The following is a 13,703-nucleotide window of genomic DNA, read 5'->3' on the forward strand; positions in this document are numbered from 1 at the left end:
TGTAGAGACGTGCTCAAGATCACTCAATTATCATAGCTAGGACGTGAGTCTCCAGCGACCTTCCAATTGCCTGGTTGAACCAAAGCCCTGGTTCATTCTGCTGCGCATTAAAAGCAGGCTTTACTCCCCTCCAAACAGTAGAATCGCAGTTAAACTTAGTCAAACAAACTTAATGTATCCAATACAAAACTCATCTTTCTAACCCTAACACCTCCTCTTCCTCTCTATTTTCTATTTCAGTTGATGGTACCATTATGTTTCTGCTCACTCAAATTATTATTATTTTATCCATAAACGAGCACTTTATCTAGAAGATCATTTAAATTCTAAATGATCTTCAAAAACGCACTTTACTCTCCACCCTAACTAGCTGAATCATCTCCCACATGGGTCACTATGAGAGCCTTCTGATTTGTTCCCTTGCCTCAGTCTCTCCCCACCCAGCTTCAGCAGTATTCCCTAAGACTCTTCATGGCTCTCCGTCCTCTACAGAGTAAAGACGACACTCTTCATCACACAGCACAGAATTCTCTCGGGAACCTGTTCTTTGCTTACCTAACAAGGCCCAGTTGTTTGCTCTTCCTAGACTCTGAAGAGGTCACTTACCCTCAGGCTGCTACATTTGTAAAAATCGCCATCCCAACTCTCAAAGAGCTGGCTTCAGATTTGAGATAATACACTTTGAATGATATACAATCAAGGAGTTTCTCCTCCATCACTCCTTTACATTTTATATCTATCTGCTGTTTAGTGCCTCGTCTCAATTCCATGAAAGCTACTGAATACAAACTATTTACTAGGGAGTCTGCGGGACACAAACAGAGGGATTATATTTAAAAAATAGATTGACGCGATCTTTGCCTTCCCCGACCTCATTACAATATAGTTTCTCCACCAATATCTTTAAAAACAGATCCTCTCTAACAGTATGAGAAAATCAAGGGGAGCCTCGGAAGTTCAGGCCAGGCTGCGTTCCGAGGAGCCGCCACGTCCCCCCACCTCCGCTTCCCGGGCCGCGATTGCAGGTTGAAAACTACTCCCAAACATCACAGGGCAGGCAGAATGCAACTACGACCCACGTGGCAGACGGGGGCGGGGACCGGTCGCGTGGCCGCGGCCTTGGCTCTTGCGCCTGCGCGCTGCCTCCCGCTCTAGGACCCGGATTTAAAGAGACAGGCGCTCCAACCGTCGTGGGCTGCCCGCGGCCTGTAATGAGCAAGTTCCGAGGCCTACGGTGAGCGCCGGAGCCGGAGAGGCAGGTGAGGGGCTACGCGGCGCGGCACGGCGCGGCGGGGCCCGGCGTGGGGAAGGCAGCGGGCCCGGGGCGAGGAGCTCGGCGCGGCCGGGGAGCCAGCCCCCCGGCTCCTCCCCCGCCCGCCTGCGGAGCCCCGGGGCACACCCTCCGTGACGTGGCGGCCCTCCCGGGAGCCCAGGGGGAGGCTCGCGGCTCCCCGGGACCCCCACGGGGCCGCGTGAGGCGGGGAGGCCGGCGCCCGGGCTGTGTTCCCTGTGGAACCCACGGGGCCTTCTCGTACCCTGGCCCGGCGTGCGTCCTCCTGCGCTGAACCGGGAGCGCTCGGGTGGGACTCAGGGAGCCTTGATCACTTCCCGCCTGCGTCCCGGACCCGGTGGAGGAGCGCTCCTTTCTGCCTCGCCGGGGGTCGCGGCCTACGCCGCCGACCCCACTGTCCCCGCCACTCTCCGACAGCGGCGCGGGAAGCCCTTCGAGAAAAGCGGCGGCGGCCAGGCCTCAGCGATTTCCTTCTCGGGCCCCTGGGCTGCGGCAGTTGTGAGGGTGCGGAACGAGGGACAGACGGGTTTCCTCAAAGCTGCATTGTGCCTCCTCGTGGCCCAGCGCCTCCCGAGCCTCCCTCAAGTCCACTCCTTTCATTATTGGGGCCCTAGAGGTTGCTCTGTAAATTGATCTTCTAGGAAAAGTGTTGAAACTCACTTGTTCTGACCTCCTTTTATGGGTCTGCCGTACTTCCACTTACCTCACCTCTGTGGTTCTTAAACTTTGGGAGTTATATAGCCCTTTGTGAATATCACGAAAGTGATAGACCTCCTCCAAAAAACCGTGCATTTTTATCGAATGTACATTTTGTATACATTTTTAGAGAGCTCAGAACAGCCTCCCTCCCCCACAACCAGCGCATTCATGGATTCCTTGTAATTTTCCCAACTACCCTGTGAGGTAGGTATTATTTACCCTGCTTTAGAAATAAGAAAACAGATGCAGATAAATTAAGAGTTTTCTCCGAGGTAACAGTCAGTAAACTGTACAGTCAGACTTGCACTCCCATCCCTTATTCCAGGTCCACCAGCTTTCCTTCACATCATGTTGCACTACAGTAAGCAAAGCCTGCTTTTTATTATAACGTGACAGCAATTTTGCTTCACAGCGTGTGCAGACTGAACATAATTCCAGTATACTTAAAACTAGGACTATAAAATGCTTTAGAAAACATGAATATAAGAAGATGCTGATATAATCTTTTTCCATTTGGATTGATTTATGAGTTCCTGTGAGTCTTGCTGCCCAGTGACTTCAGCATTCTCTGATTCAAGTTGCTGAATGATAAACAGGTTAATTGCACATCGGAAGCCTCTTCTTGAAAGATAACGACGTCACCGATCATAATAGGAGCTGACGTTAATGAGAGCTCTTGCTGTGTGCCCAACTGTTTTAAGGGTTTTACTCTTAGAACAGCTCTTTAAGTTAGGCCCCATAATTAGCCACATTTTACAGATAAGGAAGCTCAGGAACAGAGGTAAGAAACCCATCAAGGTTATACAGCTGGTAAGTGGCTGAGTTAGGATTTGAACTCAGGCAGTCTGATTCCAGGCTCTGCTTAGTTGTCTCTCAATATAGGGATTCTAACTCAATTCCAAATCTATATAGTGGCTTGATTTCTGAGGATGGCATATGTGTTAAACTTCACAATAAAAACTTCATGAACATAATGTAATTTTTACTGGTGATTAAAACGAAACTTCAGGGCCAGGCACGGTGGCTCATGTCTGTAATCCCAGCACTTTGGGAGGCCGAGGCGGGCGAATCACCTGAGGTCGGGAGTTGGAGACTAGCCTGACCAACAAGAAGAAACCCCGTCTCCATTAAAAATACAAAAAAGTTAGCCGGGCGTGGTGGCGCATGCCTGTAATCCCAGCTACTAGGGAGGCTGAGGCAGGAGAATCGCTTGAACCCGAGAGGAGGAGGTTGCGGTGAGCCAAGATCGCGCCAATGTACTCCAGCCTGGGCAATTAAAGTGAAACTCCGCCTCAAAAAAAAAAAAAAAGAAAGTTCAGGATCTTGTAATACTTAAAGGTCATCATCCATTATGAGTATCATATGTTGCTGATGGCCTAAAAAGAGCTTTTATGTTATTTGGATTTTCTTCATTGTGATGTACTAGATGTACATGTGTGCATTAGATAATTGAACATCCTGCTGCGAGCTGGCTTTTCCTGTATCAGAACTCTTTCATGCTGTAGAGTAGACTATGAATGTAATACTTTGGAAAGTGTTTGATTAGTCATCATGGACTATATAAGACGCTGGCCTTTGGAAAATTGGAAGCCTATCTCCTTGTTTATATCTTTTTTTTTTTTTTTTGGCCTCCTACTCTTTCGTACAGCTATATGTCTTTGGCTTTCAAGATCTTCTTTCCACAAACCCTCCGTGCACTCAGCCGAAAAGAACTGTGCCTATTCCGAAAACATCACTGGCGTGATGTAAGACAATTCAGCCAGTGGTCAGAAACAGATCTGCTTCATGGACATCCCCTCTTCCTGAGAAGAAAGCCTGTTCTATCATTCCAGGGAAGCCATCTAAGATCACGTGCCACCTACCTTGTTTTCTTGCCAGGGTTGCATGTGGGACTCTGCAGTGGCCCCTGTGAGATGGCTGAGCAACGGTTCTGTGTGGACTATGCCAAGCGTGGCACAGCTGGCTGCAAAAAATGCAAGGAAAAGATTGTGAAGGGCGTATGCCGAATTGGCAAAGTGGTGCCCAATCCCTTCTCAGAGTCTGGGGGTGATATGAAAGAGTGGTACCACATTAAATGCATGTTTGAGAAACTAGAGCGGGCCCGGGCCACCACAAAAAAAATCGAGGACCTCACAGAGCTGGAAGGCTGGGAAGAGCTGGAAGATAATGAGAAGGAACAGATAACCCAGCACATTGCAGGTAAGGTAGAGAACACTGCTTTCTCATCTTACTGGTGCTGAGAGAAAAAGGGATAAGGAGTTCAACTGCTTTCTTTCTCTTTTTTTTAACTTTGCTCTTTTAGAGATGGGGTCTCACTCTGTTGCCTAGGCCAGTGTTTAATGTTGCATTCGTAGCTCACTGCAGCTTTGCACTGCTGGACTCAGGTCATCCTGACTCAGCCTCCCAAGTAGTTGGGATTACAGGCGCATGCCACCATGCCCAGCCTTTAACGTTTTATTTGGAAATAATTTTAAACTCACTGAAGTGTTGGAAGATTAAAAATAGTACAAAGAACATTCATATTCCTTTTACCCATATTTACCTATTAACATTTTACTCTATTTGCTTTATCATATTTGTTCATGTGCTGTCTCTCTCTACATACATACACACGTGTGCGTGCACTCACTTTAAACCATTTGAGAATAAGTTGCATACATCATGGCCCTTTAAAATTCTTCAGTGTATATACCTTAAGAATAGGATATATGACCCTTATGCGACTATAATATAGCTATCATCTTCAGAAAATTTGTCCTTGATGTAATACTTAAATCTACCATCTGTATACTATTTTGTCAATGGATTGAGTCATACCTTCAGTAGCCTTTTCCTGCAGTATAGGATCCCAGTCTAGGATCATATCAGGTGTTGCATTTAGTTGTCATGTTTCTTTGGCCTCCTTTAATCTGAAATATTTCCATAGTCTCTCTTTTATGACATTGATATTTTGGAAGAATAGAGTACTGATTACTATCCTCTTTTACTTTTTTTCTTGTAGCATATAATTCATTACTGTACTTAACTAATTTGATACTTAATTGTCCCATATTTGGCCAATTAGGAACCCCTTTACACTGTCCTCTGTGTCCTGTATACCTTCATTAACTTTTTTTAATGTACTTCTTTACTCTTGAGCATAGCAAGATGCTTTTAGTCTTATCCCGTATGTATCCTTCCCCAGCCCTGAAATTGGTAATTTCTCTGGGGATTCCTGTTAGTGGGAAATGCCCCTGTTAAAGAGTAAAACCTGGATACTATGTGTCCACATTGTCATGGGGTATCTGTTTCTTCTTTTTTTTTTTTTTGAGAGTCTCACTCTGACCCAGGCTGGAGTGTAGTGGCACTATCCTGTTAGTGGGAAATGGTATTAAAGAGTAAAACCCGGATACTATGTGAACACATTGTCATGGGGTATCTGTTTCTTCTTTTTTTTTTTTTTGAGACAGAGTCTCACTCTGTGACCCAGGCTGGAGTGCAGTGGCACTGTCTTAGCTCACTGCAACCTCTGCCTTCCAGGTTCAAGCAATTGTCCTGTCTCAGCCTCCCAAGTAGCTGGGACTACAGGCACTTGACACCACACCCAGCTAATTTTTGTGTTTTTAGTAGAGACAGGGTTTCACCATGTTGGTCCAGCTGGTGTTGAACCCCTGACTTCAAGTGATCCACCCACCTTGGCCTCCCAAAGTGCTGGGATTACAGGCCTGAGCGCCCAGCCATGGCATGTCTGTTTCTAAGCCCTTTCAGCAGACAGAGCTAGAAAATATGTGCGTGTATATGCATGTAAAATTCATACCTATATATGGCTATATATAACATGTTTGCATGTACATGCATATTTACATATGCATATTTTAGAAATTTTATGCCAATACCCCCAAATCCAGTTAGTCCTCTTTGACCTTCAGTGTCTGTAAAATAATGTTCATATCTTCAACTTAGTTCTGGTCACCATAGGAAGACAGTTAACAATGGCTCTAAAAATGGGTATCTGTCCTTGTTCTTTGAAAGGAAAAAAGACTTCCGGGAAAGAAAACTGTGCTTCCCATATACTTTATTCTCAGGCTCCCCATCCCACCTTGCACTGCCTTAGCTATTGGCCTCGGCCTTTGTTACTTCTTGACCCATCTCTCATTTGGAGGAAGAGAAATACAGGTAGAGTTCATGACTCAGATAACTAAGCATCTGGAAATTTTCCTTCCTATGCTAGGTTGACATGCTCTGTGATCCTCATTTACTTTTTGTTCATCTCTAAATTGAAGCTAATTCTGTGGGGTTGGGGGTTCCCTAAGTTTTATCCATCAAACTATGATTTCTGATTTCCCCCAAATTGTTATTTCTGGAGACTTACATATGGGATAAGAAGTGGAGAATGTTGATGAAAATTTAAGGTACTAATAGAGATAAATGGTAACTGGATCTTTTGTCTCCAGCATATCCTTCCCTTCTGTCCCCACAATACCCTATTACCTACTACCCCCACTCAAAAAATACCAGCCACCAGCCAGCCTTGGGCTAGTGCTAGGGTAGTGACTTAACAAGCAAGGCCCTAGGAGCAGTTGATAGATTCTTTGGATGTTTTTTTCAGAGATCGTTCACTGAAGGATATTTTATACTCTTTTGGGATCCTACAGATCTGTCTTCTAAGGCAGCAGGTACACCAAAGAAGAAAGCTGTTGTCCAGGCTAAGTTGACAACCACTGGCCAGGTGACTTCTCCAGTGAAAGGCGCCTCATTTGTCACCAGTACCAATCCCCGGAAATTTTCTGGCTTTTCAGGTAAGATAGGTTAGGGCTACTTTAGCTGTTATAGTGCTGCTTTTATTTTGTATTCTACCTAGGATTCTGGCTAAAGAGTGAAAATTCTGTGCTATCTCATCTCATTAATAATTTGCTTCTGTCTGAGCAGAGACTGGTAATGGCTAATTCTAAGCCTTCCGCTTGGTTTTTGTTTGTTTGTTTGTTTTTTGGTTTTGGGGGTTTTTTTGAGATGAAATCTTGCTCTGTCATCCAAGCTGGAGTGCAGTGGTGCATTCTCAGCTCACTGCAACCTCCGCCTCCTGGGTTCAAGCGATTCTCCCACCTCAGCCTCCCAAGTAGCTGGGATTACAGGCACCTGCCACCATGCCTGACTAATTTTTGTATTTTTAGTAGAGATGGGGTTTCGCCACGTTGGCCAGGCTGGTCTCAAACTCCTGACCTCAGGTGATCCACCTGCCCCAGCTTCCCAAAGTGCTGGGATTGCAGGCGTGAGCCACTGCGCTCGGCCAGCATTCCACTTGTATAGCATTTCTTTGTATACTTTAACCTCTATCGCAGCGGAAAGATTTGTTTTGTCAAGACTTTTTCCCCTTGAAATAGTTACCTGGGCCAGACAGAGATTATTAGAACCTGTCTTTTACTTCCTTGTGTTTTGATAATGAAAGAATTTTGAGAAATTGTTTCCCTGAATATGCCTAGAAATGAAAGTATGAAAGAAGGGAGATGTCATGCATGGATCTCCCTTCTTGATTCTTAAAACTGTTTATTCAAAACACTGGAACTTCATGGAACACAAAGGAAGGAAAAAAAGATCTGAAGGATATTGCTATTTGTTGGGAGGCAGTACAGCCTAGGGATGAAGCTTGCAGACTTTGGAATCAGTGAGCTCTGGGTTCAAATCCCATCTCCTAAAGGGGAGGACTGTGGCTATTATTTGTAGGACAGATGAACAATAAAGTGTTAAGTTTCCTGTTCTCTTCACTAAAATACACACATGCACACACGTGTATACACACATATATAGTTTCTTTTATATAAAATATAGAATTACTATTTCATAGACAGGGATTCAGGAAGACTTTGCTGGGGCATGTGGTATAGATAGGAGTTGAGAAGATCAGGATCATTTATTGGCCTTACGTAAACAGACAGCATTGGACTAGGGGCTTTTATATATGTAGTTTCATTTCTTCTTCAGTTAACCCTAGACAGTACTTTTATTTAGGAAGTACTTTTTATTAGGCCCTTTTTATGACTGAGAAAGTTGACGTTCAGGGTTATCATGGAGTTAGTATTTGTACTGAAGTCTGACTTCAGTACTTGTGCTCTTTTATACTACACTGTGTTGCTGCTTTTATTGTTTGGAGACATTCTTGTGATTGACTCAGCTGAAGAAAATAAATAAAGCCAAACCACTTGGCCTTATTTTAGAAGTCATTTGGAGATTGAAAGACATTTTATGTGATTGAAAGAAGCCTAGACCTGAGGTCAGAAGACTTGGGTTCTGGTCCTTGACAGCTCAGATCCCTGAGCACGTCCTTACCTCTCTTTAGCCTCTGTCTATGAAGCAGCAGTGGCCTCTCCTACCATAGTGCTATGCACAGGGTGCTATAGGAGCACAGGCAGCAATATATAGATTACTTTCCCCTCTGCTTCAGTGAGTTTGTGTATTTATTTGTTTAAGCTTCATCATATCTCCATGCCTCATCTACCCCATAGTGTTCTCATGAGGACTGTAAGAGATAACATTGCAAAAACGGTGCCTGGCTCTATAGGATTTTTATTATTTAAAAATTCTGGGCCGGGCGCGGTGGCTCACACTTGTAATCCCAGCACTTTGGGAGGCCGAGGCGGGCGGATCACGAGGTCAGGAGATCGAGACCATCCTGGCTAACACAGTGAAACCCTGTCTCTACTAAAAATAAAAAAATTAGCCGGGCGTGGTGGCAGGCACCTGTAGTCCCAGCTACTCAGGAGGCTGAGGCAGGAGAATGGCATGAACCCTGGGGGCAGAGCCTGCAGTGAGCCAAGATCGCGCCACTGCACTCCAGCCTGGGCGACAGCGAGACTCTGTCTCAAAAAAAAAAAAAAAAAAAAAAAAAATTCTGAGGTTGGTTGGTTTGTTGTTTGCTGGTAGGCCAAAGATAGAGAAGAGTCCAGGTGATGATAAGGACAGCATGTTTCTGGAAGGGCTCCGGTGTTGGGGATGGAATTTGGGAGGAGTTGAGAGAAAGAGAGTGTTTTAGTTCTTGCAACCTGGTTGAACATTGACACTTTGGAGATTTTGTCCCCTAAAATCATATTTAGATTCCGGATCAGAGATGAGGATGGATTTATAATTTACAAAGCCCAGACAAGAAACAGTGTACAACAGCAGTTAGCTTAGTAATGGCTCTGCCACAAGTTTGCCGAATAAAATTTGCTTTTTAAATGGTCACAAGGAGGTGAAAGGGAATCACCGATGAGTTGCACATAATTATTTTTAAGTGTCTGGAGGAAATCCCTGCCCCTTGACCACCTTTTGTAAAAATGTATTATTTTTTTTTTATAACTGCTCCTTGGGGAGCAGGGTTTTATTTTGACAATAAGAAAAGAAAAGTTGAAGCAGCGAGGGGTAGGGATGTTGAGTGTACTAATGGAATCTGACTTTCTTAGTAGTGTCTTTGTCCTGGCTCTTTCAACAAGGAAGTGGGCCAGGAAGTCATTTGCTCTTCTCAGACCTCAGTCCCCTTATCAGTAAGAGAACATTGAACTAGATAATCTTTAAGGCTTCTTCCAGCTCTGACAACCTGTGATAGCAGTAATTTCACATTGTCTAACACGTACTTGATTTCTTACCCCTTTCTCATGCCAGCTTTTCTGGGATCAGCTTTACAATTGCTCTGAGATCCTTCTGACCACTTTTTTTTTTTGAGGCAGGATCTTACTATGTTGCCCAGGCTGGTCTCGAACTCCTGGGCTCAAGCAGTCCTCCCGCGTTGGCCTCGCATAGTGTTAGGGTTACAGGCGTGAGCCACTGTGCCCAGCCAGTCCTGATCATTCTTGGCATGACTTTGGTCTTTATTCTTCAGTAAAGTGCTCACATAAAGAGATGCACATCAGTCTGGTCTTTTGCTTGGGTCTAAGGAGGCCATTGTTCCTTTAACATTATTTATTAGCTGTAAGATTTGGGAAAATTACTTGGCCTCCATTTCTTTATCTGTAAGATGGATATAATGACATCTACCCCAAAAGTCTATTCGGGGAGATTAAATAAAGCTAAATACCAGCAGAATATCTGTTAGTTTCCTTCCTTCCCTTTCTTTCTTCTCAGAAAGGCAGAATGAATTCATCTCTGTTGTTTCTCCAACAGCCAAGCCCAACAACTCTGGGGAAGCCCCCTCGAGCCCCACCCCTAAGAGAAGTCTGTCTTCAAGCAAATGTGACCCCAGGCATAAGGACTGTCTGCTACGGGAGTTTCGAAAGTTATGCGCCATGGTGGCCGATAATCCTAGCTACAACACGAAGACCCAGATCATCCAGGACTTCCTTCGGAAAGGCTCAGCAGGAGGTGTGGCATGAGCATCCTGAATAGGCCTTTCCTCCGGAGAGCTCAAGGCCATGGCTGCCTTCCTGGGCATGTGAGCTGTATAGTTGCCCGGGATCCCATGCTTGGTTTAATGCTGTACTGTAGTGCTATCTGGAAATTCTTAATAATTTTGAACAAGGGGCCTCGCATTTGCATTTTGCACTGTACTCCACAAATTATGTAGCCAGTTTTTCTCAGAGCACTTTGGCATCTGTCTTCCTCTCCCCTTATTCTGCTCCTAGGAGGCCAGAAGAACCCATCCTATTTGACTAGTTAGAAAATTTACTGTCCTACATATTTAATTAGGTTTTTGTGAACCATATACACAGTTTGGAATAGAATCTTCCAACTCTGTTTCTTTCATTTATCTAACAAATTGTCGATGAGCATCTCTGATGTCCTTGTCACTGGGCACGTGAAGTGAAACTAACCACTCTGTCCAACAAGAGTTCATCTGTAGGCTAAAGGTGAGGCAGACACAATCCACCAGCCTCTGAACTCCATGCTGTCTCCTACTATAGCGATATGCACAGGGTACTATAGGAGCATGGGCAGCGATATATAGATATCTTTTGGTCTCTGCTTCTTTGAGTTTGTTTGTTTGTTTATTTATTGAGACAAAAAATGTGGCTGTGTTGCCCAGGCTGGAGCGCATGGGTGCAATCTCAGCTCACTGCAACCTCCGCCTCCTGGGCTCAAGCAGTCCTTCTGCCTCAGCCTCCCAAGTAGCTGGGACTATAGGCATGTGCCGCTATGCCTGGCTAATTTTTGTATTTTTTGTAGAGACGGGGTTTTGCTGTTTTGCCCAGGTTGGTCTCAAACTCCTGGATTCAATTAATCTGCCTACCTCAACCTGCTAAAGTGCTGGGATCACAGGCGTGAGCCACCATGCGCGGTCTGAGTTTATTTTTTTATTTATTTTTGTGTGTGTGTGTGAGACAGTGTCTTGCTCTGTCGCCCAGGCTGGAGTACAGTGGTGTGATCACAGCTCACTATAGCCTCGACCTCCTGAGCTAAAGCAACCCTCCTGTCTTCTCCTGCAAGTAGCTGGAACCATAGGCATATGCCACCATGTCCAGCTAATTTTTTAATTTTTTGTAGAGATGGGGTCTTTCTTTGTTGCCAGGGTGGTCTCAAACTTGTGAGCTTAAGCAATTCTCCTGCTTCGGCCTCCCAAAGTGCTGAGATTACAGGTGTGAGCCACCTTGCCCAGCCTTCTTTGAGTTTATATATTTATTTGTTTAAGCTCTATTTCTCAAGAAGGGTTCCTTCTGTCTCCAGATGGTTTCCACGGTGATGTGTACCTAACAGTGAAGCTGCTGCTGCCAGGAGTCATTAAGACTGTTTACAACTTGAACGATAAGCAGATTGTGAAGCTTTTCAGTCGCATTTTTAACTGCAACCCAGATGATATGGCACGGGACCTAGAGCAGGTCAGAGGAACGGGAGGGAGGGTAGGCTACATTCCAGGTGGGGTTTTGCCAAGCCAGGCACCTGCAGCCTCTTTTTTTTTTTCTGGTTGGGACACATACTGTTTTAGGAAACTGAAACCCATTTGAGCAAGCTTCCGTTATAGGGGGAGCTGAATGTGAGGCTATAGCTCTTAATTTCTTAAGTTTCTGAGGGTGGAAACCATACAACTGCTGAACCACAAAGGCCTGGTTCTCAAAAGGCAGAATTTGAGACTTGCCCCCTCTGTCTCTCCTGGGGCTTTTATTCTGGACTCTTTTTTTCTTGCTTGTTTTCTCCTATAACTTGGCTTTACCAAGCTTTGGTTTGTCCGTGACTCTATCCCTGGTACCATGGCAAGTTTCCATCCCCTTCTAGGAATTGTGGATGGGCTAGTGTCTCTAAGAAGTGGGCTAGATATGTTGAGTTGGGATAGGAGCTATGATTGAAATTTCTTGATTCATCTTCAGTCCTGGGTCTTGGGGGATACACTTGGCCACCCTAGGGTTGCAGCAGTGGCATTTTGGTTTTTGGAGACAGGGTGACGTGTCAGAGACAATCAGAGTCTTCTTTGAGCAGAGCAAGTCTTTCCCCCCAGCTGCCAAGAGCCTCCTTACCATCCAGGAAGTGGATGAGTTCCTTCTGCGGCTGTCCAAGCTCACCAAGGAGGATGAGCAGCAACAGGCCCTACAGGACATTGCCTCCAGGTGGGGGAGCTGCCTCCGTCAAACCATGCCCATAGAGAGATGAACTCTCTTGGGAAGGGAAGGTTCCCTTGGGGTTCCAGAGCTCTTCAAGACCAAGTTAAATGTGCTTCATCCCCCTAGGTGTACAGCCAATGACCTTAAATGCATCATCAGGTTGATCAAACATGATCTGAAGATGAACTCAGGTGCAAAACATGTGTAAGTAGCAGCTCCGCTGACAGCCTGAGCTGTCATTTGTTAGCTTTGTTTGTTCCCAACTGGTGTCAGGACTTTTGAGTCCCAGTCAGGATTTGAATCCCCCTTCCACCTTCTTACTTTCTGTGAGACCCTGATCTGTCACTTGACCTGTCTCTGCCTCCATTTTTTCCCATATAAAATGGAGATAACAGTACCTTTCTCACAGAGTTCTTACAGTTGAAGTGTGGCATACGTTCAGTGAGTATAGTATGAGTCTCTTGCCTACTCCAGCCCCCTCCTCGCTAAGGCGGCATCCACATAGGCACAGTATCTCAAAAGAGCTGAATTTTCCAAGAGCTTTCTCTCCTCTTGTGAAAGTCTTTAGACAATAGAACACAACCCCTTCCCTACAGATGAGGATTTCTTCTGTGAGGACAGATTGCTGTCCAAAGCCATGGAGTCAAACAAAGGCAGTGGTTTTGTTTCCTTGTTCCTGTACCCCTTGGCAGGTTAGACGCCCTTGACCCCAATGCCTATGAAGCCTTCAAAGCCTCGCGCAACCTGCAGGATGTGGTGGAGCGGGTCCTTCACAACGCGCAGGAGGTGGAGAAGGAGCCGGGCCAGAGACGAGCTCTGAGCGTCCAGGCCTCGCTGATGACACCTGTGCAGCCCATGTTGGTGAGGAGTGCTCCCCTGCCTCTGCTTTCCAGCCTCTCCAAGCTCCACATCCTTTGGGCTGAGATCAGATAGGGTATGAGTGTTGAGAGCACTTGCAAATTGACTGGAGAAGTTTAGGGAAGGAAGAGGGAGGTGCAAGGGGGTATTTCTCTGTAGGAGGCGAAGGCAAAGGAGAAGACAGAGGATCTAGTGGAAAGACCTGAGTTGTAGGCCCAGCTACGCCACCAAGATGCTGTAGAATCTTAGATGAGTGACTTGCCTCTCTTGTCCTTCAGTCTCCTGTGTGGATGACGTCTGAGACTGCCTGAGGCATCCCCCTAGAATGATTTATCTGTTATCTTACCTGAAGACGGATGTATTAAGTAACCCCTGAG

General features: G+C 45.5%; 1 protein-coding gene across 10 annotated transcripts in view, besides 1 other annotated feature; it reads left to right on the forward strand.

Moving 5' to 3' along the window:
• LIG3 (DNA ligase 3) overlaps positions 1,149-13,703 on the forward strand; it is a 30,361-nt gene continuing 17,806 nt past the window's right edge. For 4 of the 10 annotated variants that reach the window (XM_047435968.1, XM_047435971.1, XM_005257970.5 and 1 more), the window contains exons 1-8: positions 1,149-1,234; positions 3,639-4,189; positions 6,625-6,768; positions 10,103-10,300; positions 11,600-11,751; positions 12,308-12,474; positions 12,595-12,672; positions 13,161-13,329. In XM_047435968.1, the coding sequence (XP_047291924.1) occupies positions 1,212-1,234; positions 3,639-4,189; positions 6,625-6,768; positions 10,103-10,300; positions 11,600-11,751; positions 12,308-12,474; positions 12,595-12,672; positions 13,161-13,329 (1,482 nt within the window). In that variant the 5' untranslated portion in view covers positions 1,149-1,211. Of the gene's footprint in view, positions 1,260-1,438; positions 1,796-2,104; positions 2,195-3,638; positions 4,190-6,624; positions 6,769-10,102; positions 10,301-11,599; positions 11,752-12,307; positions 12,475-12,594; positions 12,673-13,160; positions 13,330-13,703 lie in introns of those variants that run through there. The other 6 variants (XM_047435969.1, NM_013975.4, NM_002311.5 and 3 more) reach the window with 4 other exon arrangements.
• Positions 1,174-1,603: a silencer, noted in NCBI's record as "silent region_8432". NCBI's record gives its function as "represses an Ori minimal core promoter by ATAC-STARR-seq in GM12878 lymphoblastoid cells {active_cell/tissue: GM12878}" and the evidence as "EXISTENCE:reporter gene assay evidence [ECO:0000049][PMID:35858748]".

Source organism: Homo sapiens, chromosome 17 (assembly GCF_000001405.40).
Source record: "Homo sapiens chromosome 17, GRCh38.p14 Primary Assembly".
NCBI lineage: Eukaryota > Metazoa > Chordata > Mammalia > Primates > Hominidae > Homo > Homo sapiens.